Below are 14430 nucleotides of genomic sequence, written 5' to 3' on the forward strand. Positions count from 1 at the left end.
AACTGTGATTTCTGAACTCAATTCAGATACCTGAGCGTCGCAGTAAGCTGAGAGTGAGGCCCAGAGGCGTTCATAATGTAATATACTAAGTTTAAACTTGGCAAGCAGATGACATTGTGAGAAATGGCTTTTTTTAGGCCGATTTTGGGAGTTTGGGGTGTTTTTTTAAGAGTTAAGCCAAGGCAAAAAAATAACCCTTGCAACACATCACTTCACAGCTGGTCAGCCCAGGAGAGGCTATTCTGGGATATTCAAGCTAAAGAACCTCTTTTTAAACTCCAGGCAAACTGGAATCAGGATGCAGGGTTTTTATTTTTGTCTGTCATGGATTTACTCTGTCCAGTAATCCTGTACAGTAATCTCTGTCCAGTTTGTTCCCTGGGTGGGCCTCAGTTTACCTTCTGGAGAAGTCAAGTCAGCTGCCTTTACCTAGGGCATTATTCGATTTTTGAATTGTGGAGACTGAAAAAAGATAGTTGCTAGGGTTTATCAGAGGGTTTGGAGTGTCTACTCGAGGTGTTCCAAATCAGCGGAGAGTCAGAGAGGGGTGAAGTTGAAGTAGGATCTTATAAGAAATGACAAATGAACAAGATGTAAGAGAGAGGAGGAGGAAGAGGAATAGGAAGGTGAAGGAGGAACAAGGGCCTCCAAGCAACGTACCATGAAAACATCGGGCAAGTGGCTAAACTGTGCGTCCAGTGTTCACTTTGCTAAGACGGAGAGTGAGGGCATAAGATGATTTAGTTACAGAAGAAAAGGCAGGCAAGATGGAGCAGGCAGGTGCCTTTTGTCTGGGTTTGACAAGAGAGTTTCCTGGGTAGGGAAGGAATGTGATCAAAGTTATGATTCTAAGACCTGCCTGGAAGATGACCAGGGAGTGGGCAAACTTGGAAGCAAAACCAGCCTCCCAAACACCTGTGTAATATCGTGTCCTGGGCCACTGTATAAATAACCTCCCTCCTGTTCATCAGTAGGCTTTGTAGTTCTCAGCCTCTCTCCTCTGTTGAAAGTGTGAGCCAGCCCTTTGCATGAAGAAGCATTAGAAGGGATCACTGCATACTTCTTTAATTGTCAAGAATGCATACATGCCATGCATATGAAAGATATAGTGGACTTTGGGGACTGGGGAGTGGAGCAGGTTGGGAGTGGGGTGAGGGATAAAAGATTACACCTTGGGCACCGTGTACACTGCTTGGGTGATGGGAGCATCAAAATCGCAGAAATCACCACTGAAGAACTTATCCATGTAACCAAAAACCACTCGTACCCCCAAAAATATTAACATTAAAAAAAAGAATTCCCACCGTGCCTTAAACTTATGTCATCTCACTTTTTTTTTGTCAGCAGCCTAGAGGGAAGGGGACACAATCCCAATTTTAACACCAAAGCAACTGAGACCTACAGATATTAAATTACTTGCTCCAGATTACAACTGAGACTCAAACCCATCGCCTGGCCACAAGTCTGGTGCCCTATCTACACCAATCTGTCTCCGGTAAACCTAACTAGCTAGTCAACTTTTCCCATCCATAGGCCAGACACCTTTTGAAATAACAAACCATCTGATCTCTAGAAAAACTGAAAGGCCAGTTCCAGTTGTCAGACACACCAAGCTCGAGAGAGTCTCTCCCAAAAGTTCTCTGGAAAGCCCAGGGATTCCGAATTCCAAAGCCAGCCAAATTTGAATTTCCTCTATAAAGAGATAGTCCCTCCTGGTTTAGAACATAACCTTCCTCATTAGGCTGGTTCCATGTTTTGTAATAACTTTTGCTTACACCACAAAATTGTCATAGATTACGAAAACACAAAGGCCTTGGAAAAAAGGCCCAGAGCCCCCTGGAAGTCATTATTTCTTCCTTTAGCAATTGCTGAGTTAAGCACCATAAATATGGTTCCCATCCTGCTCCCCTTCCCCCGCCCTCCCCGCCCCCCACGATCAGCTGGACATATGTTAGGAAGAAAGCAGGGACGTGGGGGTGGAAGAAGATTCGCATGTCGTGAATCTTGAGCACTGAAAAGAAAAAGTGGGGAGAGGGCGGGGAGTTTGCAGCCCTGGAAATGGAATCTCTGAAGGATTTATTGCCTTTGAGTATCTCACAAGGCTTTTTTTTTTTTAATAAAAATCTGTAGCTTATGGCTTTTTTTTTTTTTTTTTTTTGTATAGGGCAGTAAACAAGAGCTCTGAAAGGGGAAGGAAGCCAGGAGAAAGCCAGCTCCATTAGTCACGCAGCAGCATATCCTGTCACAAAGGACCCCAGTTGAGTAATCGCCCAAAATATGCCTGTTATTTTTTTCTGTCAGAAAAAAAATGGGGCCTGCCAAAACGTACTGTAAAAAAAAAAAAAATCTGGTGTCTTAGGCCCAGAGAGGGAAAAGAAAATAAAGAAGAAAGAGTCATAATTTCACAGTGCTCTTCAAACCCTCTCCCCAGCTTACCTGGAAAAGAAAAAGCCTTCAGACTCTTCACCACGACAGAGCCTGCCAGGCTTGAAGAAAGCTACAGCCTTGGGATGGTCCAGTTCTCAGAGTCTTCATAGTTACTTGGTGCCAAGAGCTTAAAAAGAGGAGGGGTGGTCGGGGAAAGTTGAAGGAGGACAGCACGGGGGGAGAGAAAAAATGAACAGAAAGGGACCCAGGATATTGAACAAGTCCTTTGACGAGCTTTAAATGGGTGAGGCATTGCTCATAGGGAACCCGCAGGAGCCCACACCAGTTCCATGAGTATTGCATGAGCCCAGCAGGGGCTAGTGACTTCCAGCCAATGGCCGAGCCTGCTTCGTAAGCTTTTCTGATGGCCCCAGCAAAACCAGCACTGTCTCAGGCCTCCACCATGCCCTGTGGGTGTTTGGGCCACAGACTGGACAACAAGGACTTGTGCAGAAGGACATCGGACTCTGGAGAGGTCTGAAACAAGGGGTGGGGAGAGACAGGCTGGTCAGAGCTGCCTGCAACCTCCCGTATTCTCCTGGATTGGCCTTCCAAAACCCGGGCTGACAGGCTCTTGGTAGGAAAACAGGCCCAGCAAACAAAGGTGTTCTCAAGCCCAGTTCAGTCACTGCCTCTGTCCCATGCTCTTAGTCTCATGGCTCTCAGGAGCAGGACACAAGAGACGGTTATGCCCAAGCACAGAACACTCTTGGAAAGCCATCCTTTCCCTTCTGCTGACATTCTGACCCCCTCAAGGGTTGTCCATGGGGAACAGGCTTTCTGCACCCAATTGACCAAAAAATAACAGAAGCCTTCTCCTTAAGAAAGAGAGCAGGCCAGACACAGTGGCTCACGCCTATAATCCCAGTGCTTTGGGAGGCTGAGGTGGGAGAATTGCTTGAGCCCAGGAGTTCAAGACCAGCCTGGGCAACACAATGAGACCTCGTCTCTACAAAAAAACTTAAAAATTAGCCAGGCATGGTCTCAGCTACTCAGGAAGCTGAGGTGGGAGGATTGCTTGAGCCCAGGAGGCTGAGGCTGCAGTGAGCCGTGATCATGCCACTGCACTCCAACCTGGACAATAAAGCAAAAGATCCTGCCTCAAAAAAGAAGAAAGAGAACAGAGCCCTACAGAGAAGGAAGAAGGCAGGCACATTGTCACTTTTGCTCTCAAGCTCCCTGGATCTCTCCTAGAGGAGAGACCCCCAAACCTGCCTGCACTCCGCAGGAGCTGACTGGGGGAGGACCCTTTCCAGGGACACCTCCCTGGAGGTGCTCTAATATTTGGCTGCTTGGCCATTCTGGGCCAAGAAGACTCCTTCCCTAGCCCAGGACCATTAGTCTCCCTGATGATTGCTGCAGAAAGGCCCAATTTTCAGGGCCCTACCTAGCCCTTCAATACCTTTGAGCCACCCATCTTGTCTGAGCCAGAGTCCTAAAGCCAGTCCTGAGCTTCAAGACCCATGCTTGCCCTGGCCACTGCTTCCCCTGGGAGAGCTGCCTGGCTTCCTGCAGAGAGCTGGCCTGCAAGTTGGAAGGGCATATTCTCCTCCCGGCTCCCTGGCTAAATTGCTATAGAATTTCAGGTCACTCAAGTGAACTTTCTGTGACTATTTTTTCCTCCCTTCAAGATTTATCAACTATTAATTGGAGCCTCTAGATGCCTGCAATGTGGAGGTCCTGAGAATTCAATACAGAATAATACAAATGCAGTTCTTCCTGTGAAGCCTGGACAACCTTTCCCTTCCTTCCTTCCTTCTTTCCTTCCTTCCTTCCTTCCTTCCTTCCTTCCTTCCTTCTTTCTTGAGTTTCCTGATGCCAGCTCCTCAGATGGTGAGCCAGCGGTGGGAAGGTAGTGGTGGGGGTGATTATAAATACAATAAGAAATAAACCCACACACTGCAAAACTCCATGTTAATACTATTAATAGTATTTCCAAATTGCATACAGGTAGAAGACAGTTCCTTAGCAACATGATCGTAATGAGAATTCCACAAGGGCATCTGGAATTTACTCTGTCAGACATTCCAGCTTATCAGGAAATGAAAAGGACCAAGACTATCATATAATGTGCAAACTATGCTAATGCCTATCACTAGTGTATATCAGACCCCAGTTACAGGACTGACCCATGGGACTCCCCTTGTCTCAGCTTTAATCACATGAAGTACCTGAGGCCTGTTGTCCTCCTCGGGGCTCAATGCCTTCTTGCGGCCAGGTCCTTCGTATAATTCAAGAGTTGAAATCACTGTCAACACAGCCCTTTGACTAATGTTCCGGGGTGACAGGCCTGGCACGTGAACACATGAGTGATGCTATTATCCCCCAAATCACAGGTGAGTGAGGTCTCTGGAGATGTCCACCCCCACATGAATTTCCCTTTGTGGTAGCAGTAACATCTGAGTCACTAAGCATGGGGCCACAATTTAGGCTCACTCCCTCCCCTTCCTGTGCCCCAAAAGGGGGCTGAAGGCGGGTCCTCACAGCAGAAAAAGCTCCACTTCCTCCGAGCTCCAGACAGCACATCTCAGCTGTGTTGGGCCTTACAAGGCTGCGGTCAACAGGCACCCAGGTGATGAGGTCTTTCTCAGCCTGTTGTTCTCTTGTTAGCCCTTTGATGTTTCAAAGCTGACGAGGTCAGCATCTTCCAGGCTGCAGGAAACATGCCTGCCAGGTATACCTTTCAAGCAGCTGATTAATATGTCATGTGGTCTCTGGTCAGAGGAGAGTGTAAGGGCTGTTGAAATGACTCACCAGCTCAGCTCCCGTGTCTTTGGGAAACGCTACCCTGTCAGCAAGAGGCCTCCAGCTGAAAAGTAAAGACACAGATCTGAAAGGGTACAGTTCTAGCGTCCAACAAACTATTATACATCCTAAATGAAGTGAGAAATGGTAGGCTCTTCACCTGCCAGGGCCTGGCGGGGCCTGTGTCCCAGGACTGCTTAGGAATCCAAGCCTCGCACTGTTTATCCATTATACTGATGAGAAGCCTGTGAGACAGGGAGGCTTGCTGGGCCTCCAAAGTCCACTTGCTGGCTTGTTACTTGGCACCATCAGATCTACGCTAGGGATGGTGTAACTAGAGCCTTTGAGTGCATGAAAAGTCTGTGGCCTGACAAAGCACTTACTGACCAAGGAAAATCAACTTCAGGTGCAGCAGGAAAGGTCTGGTACCCAGAATGTCTGGGGTTTTGAGACACTGGAAAAGATTGCCTAATAATGTCATGGGCTCCCTTCCCTGGAAATAATCTGAAAATAGGATAAGTTCCCTCCAATCTTGGATGGGTCAACCTCGTCTTGAGGTAAGGAGACGGTTACATCAACCCATGGAGAGGGCCTGTCAGCAACTCTGAGTCTATTAGAGGGTATATTTTCAAACACAAAAAACTTTTTATCCTGGTAAAATATACCTAACGTAAAAGCTACCATTTTACCCATGTTTAAGTGTACAATTCAGTGGCATTAAGTACATTCACATCGTTGTATAAGCTTCCCCGTCATCTCTCTCCAGAACTTTTTCATCTTTCCAAACTGAAACTCTGTGCCCATTAAACACTGACTCCTCTTTCCCCTCCTCACAGCCCCTGGCAACTACCATTCTCCTTTTCATCTTTATGATTTTGACTACTCTAAGTACCTTGCATACGTGGAGTCACGCAGGGTTCTTGTGTGACGGGCTTGTTTCACTTAGCACAATGTCCTCAAGTTTCATCCATGTTGTAGCATGTGTCAAAATTTCATTCCTCTTGAAGGCTGAATACTATTCCATTGTGTGTGCATGTGCAGGTGCATGTGTGTGTGTGCGTGTGCAGGTGCATGCGTGCGTGTGTGTGTGTGTGTGTGCATGTAGCACGTTTTGTTCATCCATTCATCTGTGATGGACACTTGGTTGTTTCCGCCTTTTGGCTATTGTGGATAATGCTGCCGTGGACTTGGGGGTACAAATATCTGTCCCTCCTTTCAATACTATATCCAGAAGTGGAACTGCACAAAGAAAACTTTAAAGACAAAAGCATTGTGCCCCCAGAAGAAGGCATGTCGATGTCCTCACATCATGATTTCATATGGAGAAGAAACACCTAAAAAAAGTTGGGCGGGAGGCCGAGATGGGTGGATCACAAGGTCAGGAGATCGAGACCATCCCGGCTAACGCAGTGAAACCCCGTCTCTATTAAAAATACAAAAAAATTAGCCGGGCGTGGTGGCGGGCGCCTGTAGTCCCAGCTACTCGGGAGGCTGAGGCAGGAGAATGGCGTGAACCTGGGAGGCGGAGCTTGCAGTGAGCCGAGATCTCGCCACTGCACTCCAGCCTGGGCGACAGAGCGAGACTCCATCTCAACAACAACAAAAAAGAACGTTGGGCTACAGTAAGACTTGGTAAGAGGGACCAAGGAAGCATGGAAGAAGGAGCTGGTTGGTTCCCAGAGCAACCAGAGAAGGCTTCACAGAGATGAAATTGGAGCTGGATTCTGATGGGTAAGTAGGAGTTTGCCTGGTAGAAAAAAAAATAGAGAAGGGCAGGAAAAGAAACAGCCCTTTTCAAAAAAGAGGAGACCAAACATTGCATGCACATATCCTTTGACTCGGCAATTGCACTGGCAGGAATTCTGCTGTTATCCTCACACACATACGGCTCCAGGCATATGTCTAAGGATCCTCATAGCAGCAATGTCTGCAAGACTTAGTCACTGGGAGTGGCCTGTGGTCCCTCACTAGGACACTGCTGAAATAAACTATGGTACAGCCATACCGTGAATTCCCACACAACCATTAAAAAGAATGAAGGAGGGCCAGGTGCGGTGGCTCATGCCTGTAATCCCAGCACTCTGGGAGGCCGAGCGGGTGAATCACCTGAGGTCAGGCGTTTGAGACGAGCCTGGCCAACATGATGAAACCCCGTTTTTACTAAAAATACAAAAAATTAGCCGGGTATGGTGGCAGGCGCCTGTAGTCCCAGCTACTGGGGAGGCTGAGGCAGGAGAATCACTTGAACCCTGGAGACGGAGGTTGCCATGAGCAGAGAGAGCGCCATTGACCTCCAGCCTGGGTGACAAGAGTGAGACTCTGTCTCAAGAAAAAAAAAAAAAAAAAGCAAAGAATAGAGGCGATCTCCATGTGCTGATATGACAAGAATTCCAGACTTATTTTTAATTAAAAAAAGAAGATGTCACTGTATGCCCAAGTTATTTCCCTGGAAGGAAAGAACACACAAGAAACTCTTAATAGTCATTACCTTTGACAGGAGCAACTGTAACTTGAGGGGAGAGAAATTAAATTTTCGTGTTATGCTTTCTAATGTGTATGTATTGCGTTTAAAAACAAAGTTAACAAAGCTGCCAGGTTGATGAGATTACGGTCCACTTTTACATTCTTTGTGCTTTTTCTAATTTAAAATATTTTTTTAAAGAAAAGCAGCTATTTTTCTGGAATTGTTTAGTCCCAATGGCTCCTAAAGGCAGAGAGATGAGATGTTTACAGGGCCATCCTTTCGGAGTTTCTCTTACAGCTTCGCAAGGATTCCTTTCAAGACAGAATGGTATCCTCATCTCCTCGAGAGAAAAGTTTTGGGGCCAAACAAGAATTCGGCCAAAAGCTCGGGGCCAGGCATGTGTGGTGCCAGGGCAGTGCGGGGGTTCCCACAATGTCTGTCCAACTGTCCTGGGGACAGGACCCCTCTTCTGCACTTTTCTGTACCCCTCGTGGGGACTACGTCTCTGGGACAAAAACCCAGCTACACAGGGTTAACCCCTGCGTTTTGCTTCGCTGAGCATGGCTGAGGAGGAGGGGGTGCGGTGAGAGCAGAGGGGGCTCCATCCCGCCCCAGCTCCAGGCAGCATTAATAAAATGCAGGTGTTTTGTGTATGTATAGCTGCTTGAGGGAGGAGGGAGAAAGAGCCTTGACTGCAGCAGCGCATAGAAACAAGAGCCGAGTGCAGTAGAGGAAAATGTGCCTGCAAGTAATGAGAAAGCATTTTGCAAAGACAGCCTTGGCTTTAGGGTTGAGAAGAATGCAGCAGTTTCTGGCACAGGCCTACCCTGTAGCTCCCCCTGGGTGTGTGTGTATGTGTGCGTGTGTGTGTGTGTGTGTATCTGGACACAGGATCCTATGCATGCATGTGCACATACACACACCCCACCACCACCACAGATTTTTTTCCCAGCAACATCTCACACAACCTAAGTTTGACCCTCACTTGCTTTGACCAGGAGTTGGTTCTGACACTCCCTTCCCTCCCTGCCAACCGCCCTCCATCTTTTCTCTCCTGTCTTCCTCTCTGTGGACCCCACACCCTGCAATTCCTCCTTTCCCCCATCACTTCCTTCTCTCTGGGGCCTTGGGTTGACGGTATCTCCCCTTGGCCAGCCCCTTTTTCGTAATGCCACTTGGCTCTGCTTTCAAGCAGGCACCTTGTGAACCCGACTCCCACCCTCCTTTCCAAAGCCCACCTCCCTTGCAGTCGGGAATGGAGCTCAGGAGGTTGGCCAGCCCCTGCTGCTTTAGCTTGATGACGTGCTCCAGCACTGTGGAGGTTCAAAGTGAGGGGGGAGTAAAGCACAGAGCAAGCCCCCTCCTCCTGGCCACCCCAAGGGCAGGAGAGCAAGGAGGAGGCATCAGAGATGACTGCAAAGTGGGCAGCAGATCTGAGGGCCACTGGGCCCTGCTGAGGGTCCTCTGTCCCCACCTCCCCACATCCCCCAGGGAGGTGGGAAGTGACAGCCCCCCAACTTCTAGAGGGTCGCCCTCCATTACGCCAAGTTAAAGAAGCCTAAAAGCAAGTGATTTCTGTGATTTCTTTAGTTTGCCTCCTTGCCTGAGACCTGCTGAGGAGTGCAGTTGTAGGTGAGTTGTTCTGACACCGGAAAGGCTTCAGGAGACCAGGGTGGACCCCTGAGGCCCTGCTCGGTCCCAGGCAGGCCAGGGTCTGAGTGGAAGTCACAAGTGGAGGAGCTCCTCCAGAGGACATGGGCTCCTGATTCCATGAGGAGGGGGTAGGGAGAGGTGCTGGGGGGCTCAGGAAGCACCCCTGTCCCAGGCTACCAAGCTGATCCTGAGTGTTTGTGTCTGAAACCACTGAGCCAGAACCCATGCCAGGCAAAGGCCAGCCCAACAGCATAGTAAATATGTTCCCCGGAATTTAGCACTCCTGAGTCAGAGGGGAGCAGGGGCTGGCAAGGACCCTCTCCTCTGGCCTGTCTGAAATGGGAGGACCAAGCTCTAGAGAATCAAGTTTTTACTTTCTCAACTCCTATCCTCTACTCCCTACCTGCCTCCCCATTCCTCTGCAAATAAAAGACAGAGCAGGGGTGGACAGGCAGCAGCCCAACCATCCCGCCACTCATCCGCTCATCCCTGCCCGCAGCTCACAGGCTGGCTGGCAGCAGCTGTGTCAGGAGGCAGGACCCACATTCGGAAACTCTGAGGAATCTCCTTGGAGAGTAGTTACTGGGGCCGCTTGTCCCAGACCCCGAATTGGAACACCGTCTCTGACAACTCCAAGACTGGGACTTGTCACTTGCGGGAATAACAGTGGGAACCACCCTGGAAAATCCAGGATGCAGGGTCCCCTTACTAGCACAAAGCAGCCTTGGGGCCCCTGTGCCCCCACACCCAGCCCTTCCTCCCTTCTGGGAGCGGAACGCGGGAGAAAGCCTTGCATCCTCAGTGGCCCCCCACCCTCTGAAAGGCATGTAGTGGCCTCAAGGCCTTATTCCCCCCTCCACTCTGTTATATGGAGCCTATGAGGAGCAGATGTTTCTAATGAAGGGCCCAGGCCAGGGCTCTGGAGGTAACAGGCCCGCCATAGAGCGCTGGCTCCCATGGAGGGGCCGCAGCCCCCAGACCTCTGAAAGCACAAGCCGCCCAGTGAATGGGACACACACTCTCTTGAATTCTCAGCTCCTTTCAGGAAATTGCCAAGTTAGCCCTTGGCTTTCTCCTTTCCAGTGCCCGCCCCGTTTCCATGGCAACCGCCTCCCCATCTTCCAGAGCCTCTCTCCGGTCCTGCCCGCCCCCTCCTCTCCACCACCCTCCGCGTCTCATCTGTCTGGGTGGGAACCGGGATTAGAGTTCATCGGGCCGGGATGCTTTTCCCAGGGCCGCTTTGCCTTCGTGATCCCTTTGCGGCAGCCCGGCCCCTGCCCCGGGCTTTTCAAGTCCCCCAGACTTAATGACCAGCCCTGGGTTTCCTCCTCTTCTCTTTCTCTGCCTCCAATAAAGCCGGAGAATTAACCCAGGTTTTAAGTGCCCCGGTTCCAAGCTGAATATCAAAGGGGGCTTCCCCAAGCTGCTTCTGCATTTCAAAGGGGCTGATTTATCACTTTCACTTAAACCGGCACATTTTGGGGAAAGAGTTTTACCCAGAGGTCAAACTCTGGAAAAACAAATGGATCCCCGTTCACCCCCTCCTGGGGTGCTGTGGGCTATTAGTGTATAAACTGCTGGCGGGTAGGTGGGAAACAGGCTACCCGCACTCCTCATCAGCCTGGGCCCAAACTGTTCCTGTGCCCCCGGGGCGATTGTGAGGAAGAGGGGGAAATGCATGGAACCATGGCTGAGAAGCTCCCACACTGCTCCTCCTGGTCTCTGTGCCTGGCACCGGGCAAGTCGTCAGCTCTGTTTCTGCTTCCTGGGCCTCTTGTGGAGGCCCTAACCTGAACCTGCATTAACACTTCCAAGCTAAGGGTGCTCCCTGCCCCAGGGACTCTGCCCCTTCAATACAGCCAGGGCCTGTGAGTCCAGATTCTGCCTTTTCTTCCATTCTGCCTGCGAAGCTTTTGCAGGCACTTACTATTCAGGGGCTGCAGAGCTGGGCCCCTGAGCCACCCTCACTCCCCAGCTCTCTCCTGCCCTCACAGTCAGGCCTTGTCCATACCCTTCTTTCCCACATTCCCTCCCCACAAAACATGCACACACACATTCACCCACCCTCTCCCAGACCCCTGCCGCCGCCCCCAGTCTCCCTCTCATCCAACCTCAACCCAATAAATTATCTCTATTATTGCCCCTTCCTCAAGGACTTCCTCATACCCCCACAAAGAATGCTGGAACCCCGGACCCTGGAAACTTTTCTCCCTCTCTGTGAAGCATCTGTCTAGCTGCCCCCAAGCAGACTCCAGCCTCACTGCAGAGCGTGAGGTCCTTCGTCTGATTTAGCCCAGATCTGATTGATTCCCAGGCTTTCTCAGGCATTAACCCCCAAGGAGAGATGTGCACATCTCTCCTTGAAGTGACCAGAAAAGCCAGGAGCCAGCAGCCAATGAAGCAATCCTTGGAAGAGGCCAGGCAGACAGCACAGCGTTATCGAGGAACTTCTTACTTAGCACGAAGGGGCAAAAGCGGGCGAGGCAGCACCCCAAAGCCAGCTTCCAGAGAGGACATCCTGAATGAGGTCTTGAGAGGCACCAATCACAAGGCAGGTTTTCCCTTAATGGACACATCTGTTTCCTTTTCTTACCCTGCCACCAGCTCATTCATTCTTTCACACATTCATTCACTCCTAGGACCATTTACTGAGTGCCTATCTCGTGTCAGGGGCATTAGAGAGTAAGGCTACTGTTGATTACAGTGCAATGAGATAAACCCTCTCTCCCGTAAAGTGGCCGGCAACATTCATGGTCTTTGCCTAACCCTCTCCATGGGGATCCGGGAAATACTCTAGACAGGGGGATTTGATTCCAGCTTGAAAAGATGGGCAGGAGTTTAGCTGAGAGAAATATATTCCAGGCAGAGTGAGCAGCAGGTCCAGAGGCACCCAAGCCCACCATAGGTGGTGACGATAGGCAGATATGTCTGGCACATAGGAATGTGGAGGGAGGTGCTAGGAGATGAGCCTGGAAGGGCATGTGAATGACGTTGTGAATGGCAGGCCAGGAAACCCACCACCTCTGCCATGTCACCCAAGTTCAACCCCAACAAGATCAAAGTCGTATACCTGAGGTGCACGAGTGGGGAAGTCAGTACTACATCTGCTCTGGTTCCTAAGATCAGCCCCCTGGGTCTGTCTCCAAAAAAGGCCAATGAGGACATCACCAAGACAAGTGACTGGAAGGGCCAGAGGATCCCAGTGAAACTGACGGTGCAGAACACACAGGCCAGATTCAAGTGGCATCTTCTGCCTCTGCAGTGATCATGAAAGCCCTTGAGGAACCACCAAGAGACAGAAACAAGCAGAAAAACATTAAGTACAGTGGAAATATCATTTGTGGTGAGATCATCAACATTGCCCAACAGATGCAGCACTGATCTTTAGCCAGAGAACTCTCTGGAATCATTAAAGAGATCGTGAGGACTGCCTAGTCTGTGGGCTGTAGTGTTGATGGCGCCACCCTCACGACATCACAGATGGCTTTGATAGTGGTGCGGGTGGAGTGGCCAGCTAGTTAAGGGCTACATATAGAAATATTTCAATAAAGGATCATTTGACGACCAAAAAAAATTTAAAGAGAGAACTGTACTGAAGAAGGTGGGGAATGACAGAGGGAGCCAGTCAGGGCCCGGGAACAAGAGCAAGTCAAAGACTGTGTTCTAGCACTCGTCCGCCTGCTGAACCTCATCACGAGCTTCTTTGCTGCATGTGCTCAGATTCTGTCTCTGTTTACCCTTTCCACCTGGGGAAGCACGGAGCTCATTGACTCTTCCGCAGGAGCCCTTGCTGAAGAAATCATTTGTCATTCTATCTATCCGCTTAGATTAGCTGGGAGGTTCAGTAGAACCTGCAAGCTTCTCTCTCCCTGGAGGGAGGCAAGGGACACAGGGGAACTTTGGGACAACTACACAGGGCCTGGCAATATTTGCAGACAAGGGGATGGGAGGGAGCAGGGGTGGCAAGAGTGCCAGCAATGCTCCCAGGGCCCCACACCAGCCACAATGCAGCCTTTGGAATTTTAGAGAAGGAGCTCCCAGGGGAGAGTTGGACTAGAGTTTCAGAGTCTCTCTCAGTGCCCACATTTTGTGATGCCACTGCTGATGCTCCAAAGCAGAGATGCCCATCCAGTTGCATTTTTAAGCTGCTGCAATGCAGTAAACTTCCCTGGCCAAGCCTTGGCAAACCGTCTGTAGCAGGACTCCCATTTCTTCCAGGCTGTCCGCAGAGCAGATTTTCCTAGGCATGGGACTTTGAAAGCCACAGAAGGAAATGGAAGACAAAAGAAAGAGCAGAGCAGGGGAGCCAATGGTCCCCTGAGTCTTCATGTTTATGAGGCTACTTGGGACCTAGGAGTTCAATAACCTGCCATCCACACATTTCACACAATACAATTGACTCCGTGCAATAGATGTGTTCCCAGAAGCTGTCTGGGAACAGCTAAAATTTGAGTAATAATTTTATGTGGTGTTTTCATACAATTTGGATAATCTGGATAATTGTTACATATCGTGGTTTGGCTTAAAGCCAGGGTTACCCCTAACAATAACAGAAGTGTTGACTGCTTGGGGCCTGGCACCTCCCACTTGGACCTGCGGTTTGTGAAAGGCTCCTCCTAGGTCTTGGCCCCCTACTTGTCTTCCCTGGAGTCTTCTGTCCTGGTAACTGCTCCAGAGTCATCCTCACAGCGTCTTCCTCCACACCCTCTGTTGAGCACCCAAAGCTCAGGATGTGCCACAGGAAGCAGGGAGAGAAGACGCCACCCTGCCTTCAAGGAGCTCCCCTGGGAGCTGGGTCTCCCCAGATGCATTTCTGGGGATGTCTGTGAAGCCCATAGCTGGGCAGCCCAGACCGCCCCACACAGGAGGCGCTGGGCTCACCAGCTAAGGGTGGGAGCTCCACCTGGTCAGATCTTGCTCCAGGTCACTTTTAAGATTGCAGTGCAGGCACTGGGCACTGGCCTGCCCGAAGCCTGCCTTATCCAGGGACTCATTTCCTGGCTTTGCTTCTCCTCTACCCAGCTTATGAGAGGAGTGCTAGGAGAGGGAGGGAAAACAGAAATCTAAACTTGCTCAGGGGTCCTATTTTGTATCTTCCCTCTGAGCTTTTTTGGTTTCAACCAAAGCATATTCCCCCTCTT

At 50.0% G+C, this 14430-nt stretch overlaps 1 protein-coding gene, 1 long non-coding RNA gene and 1 pseudogene across 3 annotated transcripts in view, besides 3 other annotated features; 2 read left to right on the plus strand and 1 right to left on the minus strand.

Annotated features, from left to right (window-relative positions):
* Window positions 1-2324, plus strand: part of RAD51B (RAD51 paralog B) — an 863318-nt gene extending 860994 nt beyond the window's left edge. Inside the window, exon 11 of the mRNA NM_001321818.2 lies at window positions 2165-2324. Coding sequence (NP_001308747.1) covers window positions 2165-2172 — 8 coding nt within the window. The 3' untranslated portion in view covers window positions 2173-2324. The remainder of the gene's footprint in view (window positions 1-2164) is intronic.
* Window positions 1-4668, minus strand: part of RAD51B-AS1 (RAD51B antisense RNA 1) — a 49673-nt gene extending 45005 nt beyond the window's left edge. For both annotated transcript variants that reach the window (XR_007064220.1, XR_007064221.1), the window contains exons 1-2: window positions 4599-4668; window positions 2437-2554 (exon numbers count right to left, since the gene is read on the minus strand). This is a non-coding gene — a long non-coding RNA (RAD51B antisense RNA 1). The remainder of the gene's footprint in view (window positions 1-2436; window positions 2555-4598) is intronic.
* Window positions 2282-2827: an enhancer, noted in NCBI's record as "H3K27ac-H3K4me1 hESC enhancer chr14:69149771-69150316 (GRCh37/hg19 assembly coordinates)". NCBI's record gives its function as "activates a minimal SCP1, AML or CMV promoter by ChIP-STARR-seq in primed H9 embryonic stem cells {active_cell/tissue: H9 hESC(primed)}" and the evidence as "EXISTENCE:reporter gene assay evidence [ECO:0000049][PMID:30033119]".
* Window positions 2828-3372: an enhancer, noted in NCBI's record as "H3K27ac-H3K4me1 hESC enhancer chr14:69150317-69150861 (GRCh37/hg19 assembly coordinates)". NCBI's record gives its function as "activates a minimal SCP1, AML or CMV promoter by ChIP-STARR-seq in primed H9 embryonic stem cells {active_cell/tissue: H9 hESC(primed)}" and the evidence as "EXISTENCE:reporter gene assay evidence [ECO:0000049][PMID:30033119]".
* Window positions 4956-5005: an enhancer, noted in NCBI's record as "active region_8612". NCBI's record gives its function as "activates an Ori minimal core promoter by ATAC-STARR-seq in GM12878 lymphoblastoid cells {active_cell/tissue: GM12878}" and the evidence as "EXISTENCE:reporter gene assay evidence [ECO:0000049][PMID:35858748]".
* RPL12P7 (ribosomal protein L12 pseudogene 7) lies at window positions 12299-12854 on the plus strand (annotated as a pseudogene).

The sequence above is a fragment of the Homo sapiens genome, chromosome 14 (assembly GCF_000001405.40).
Source record: "Homo sapiens chromosome 14, GRCh38.p14 Primary Assembly".
NCBI classification, from domain to species: Eukaryota; Metazoa; Chordata; class Mammalia; order Primates; family Hominidae; genus Homo; species Homo sapiens.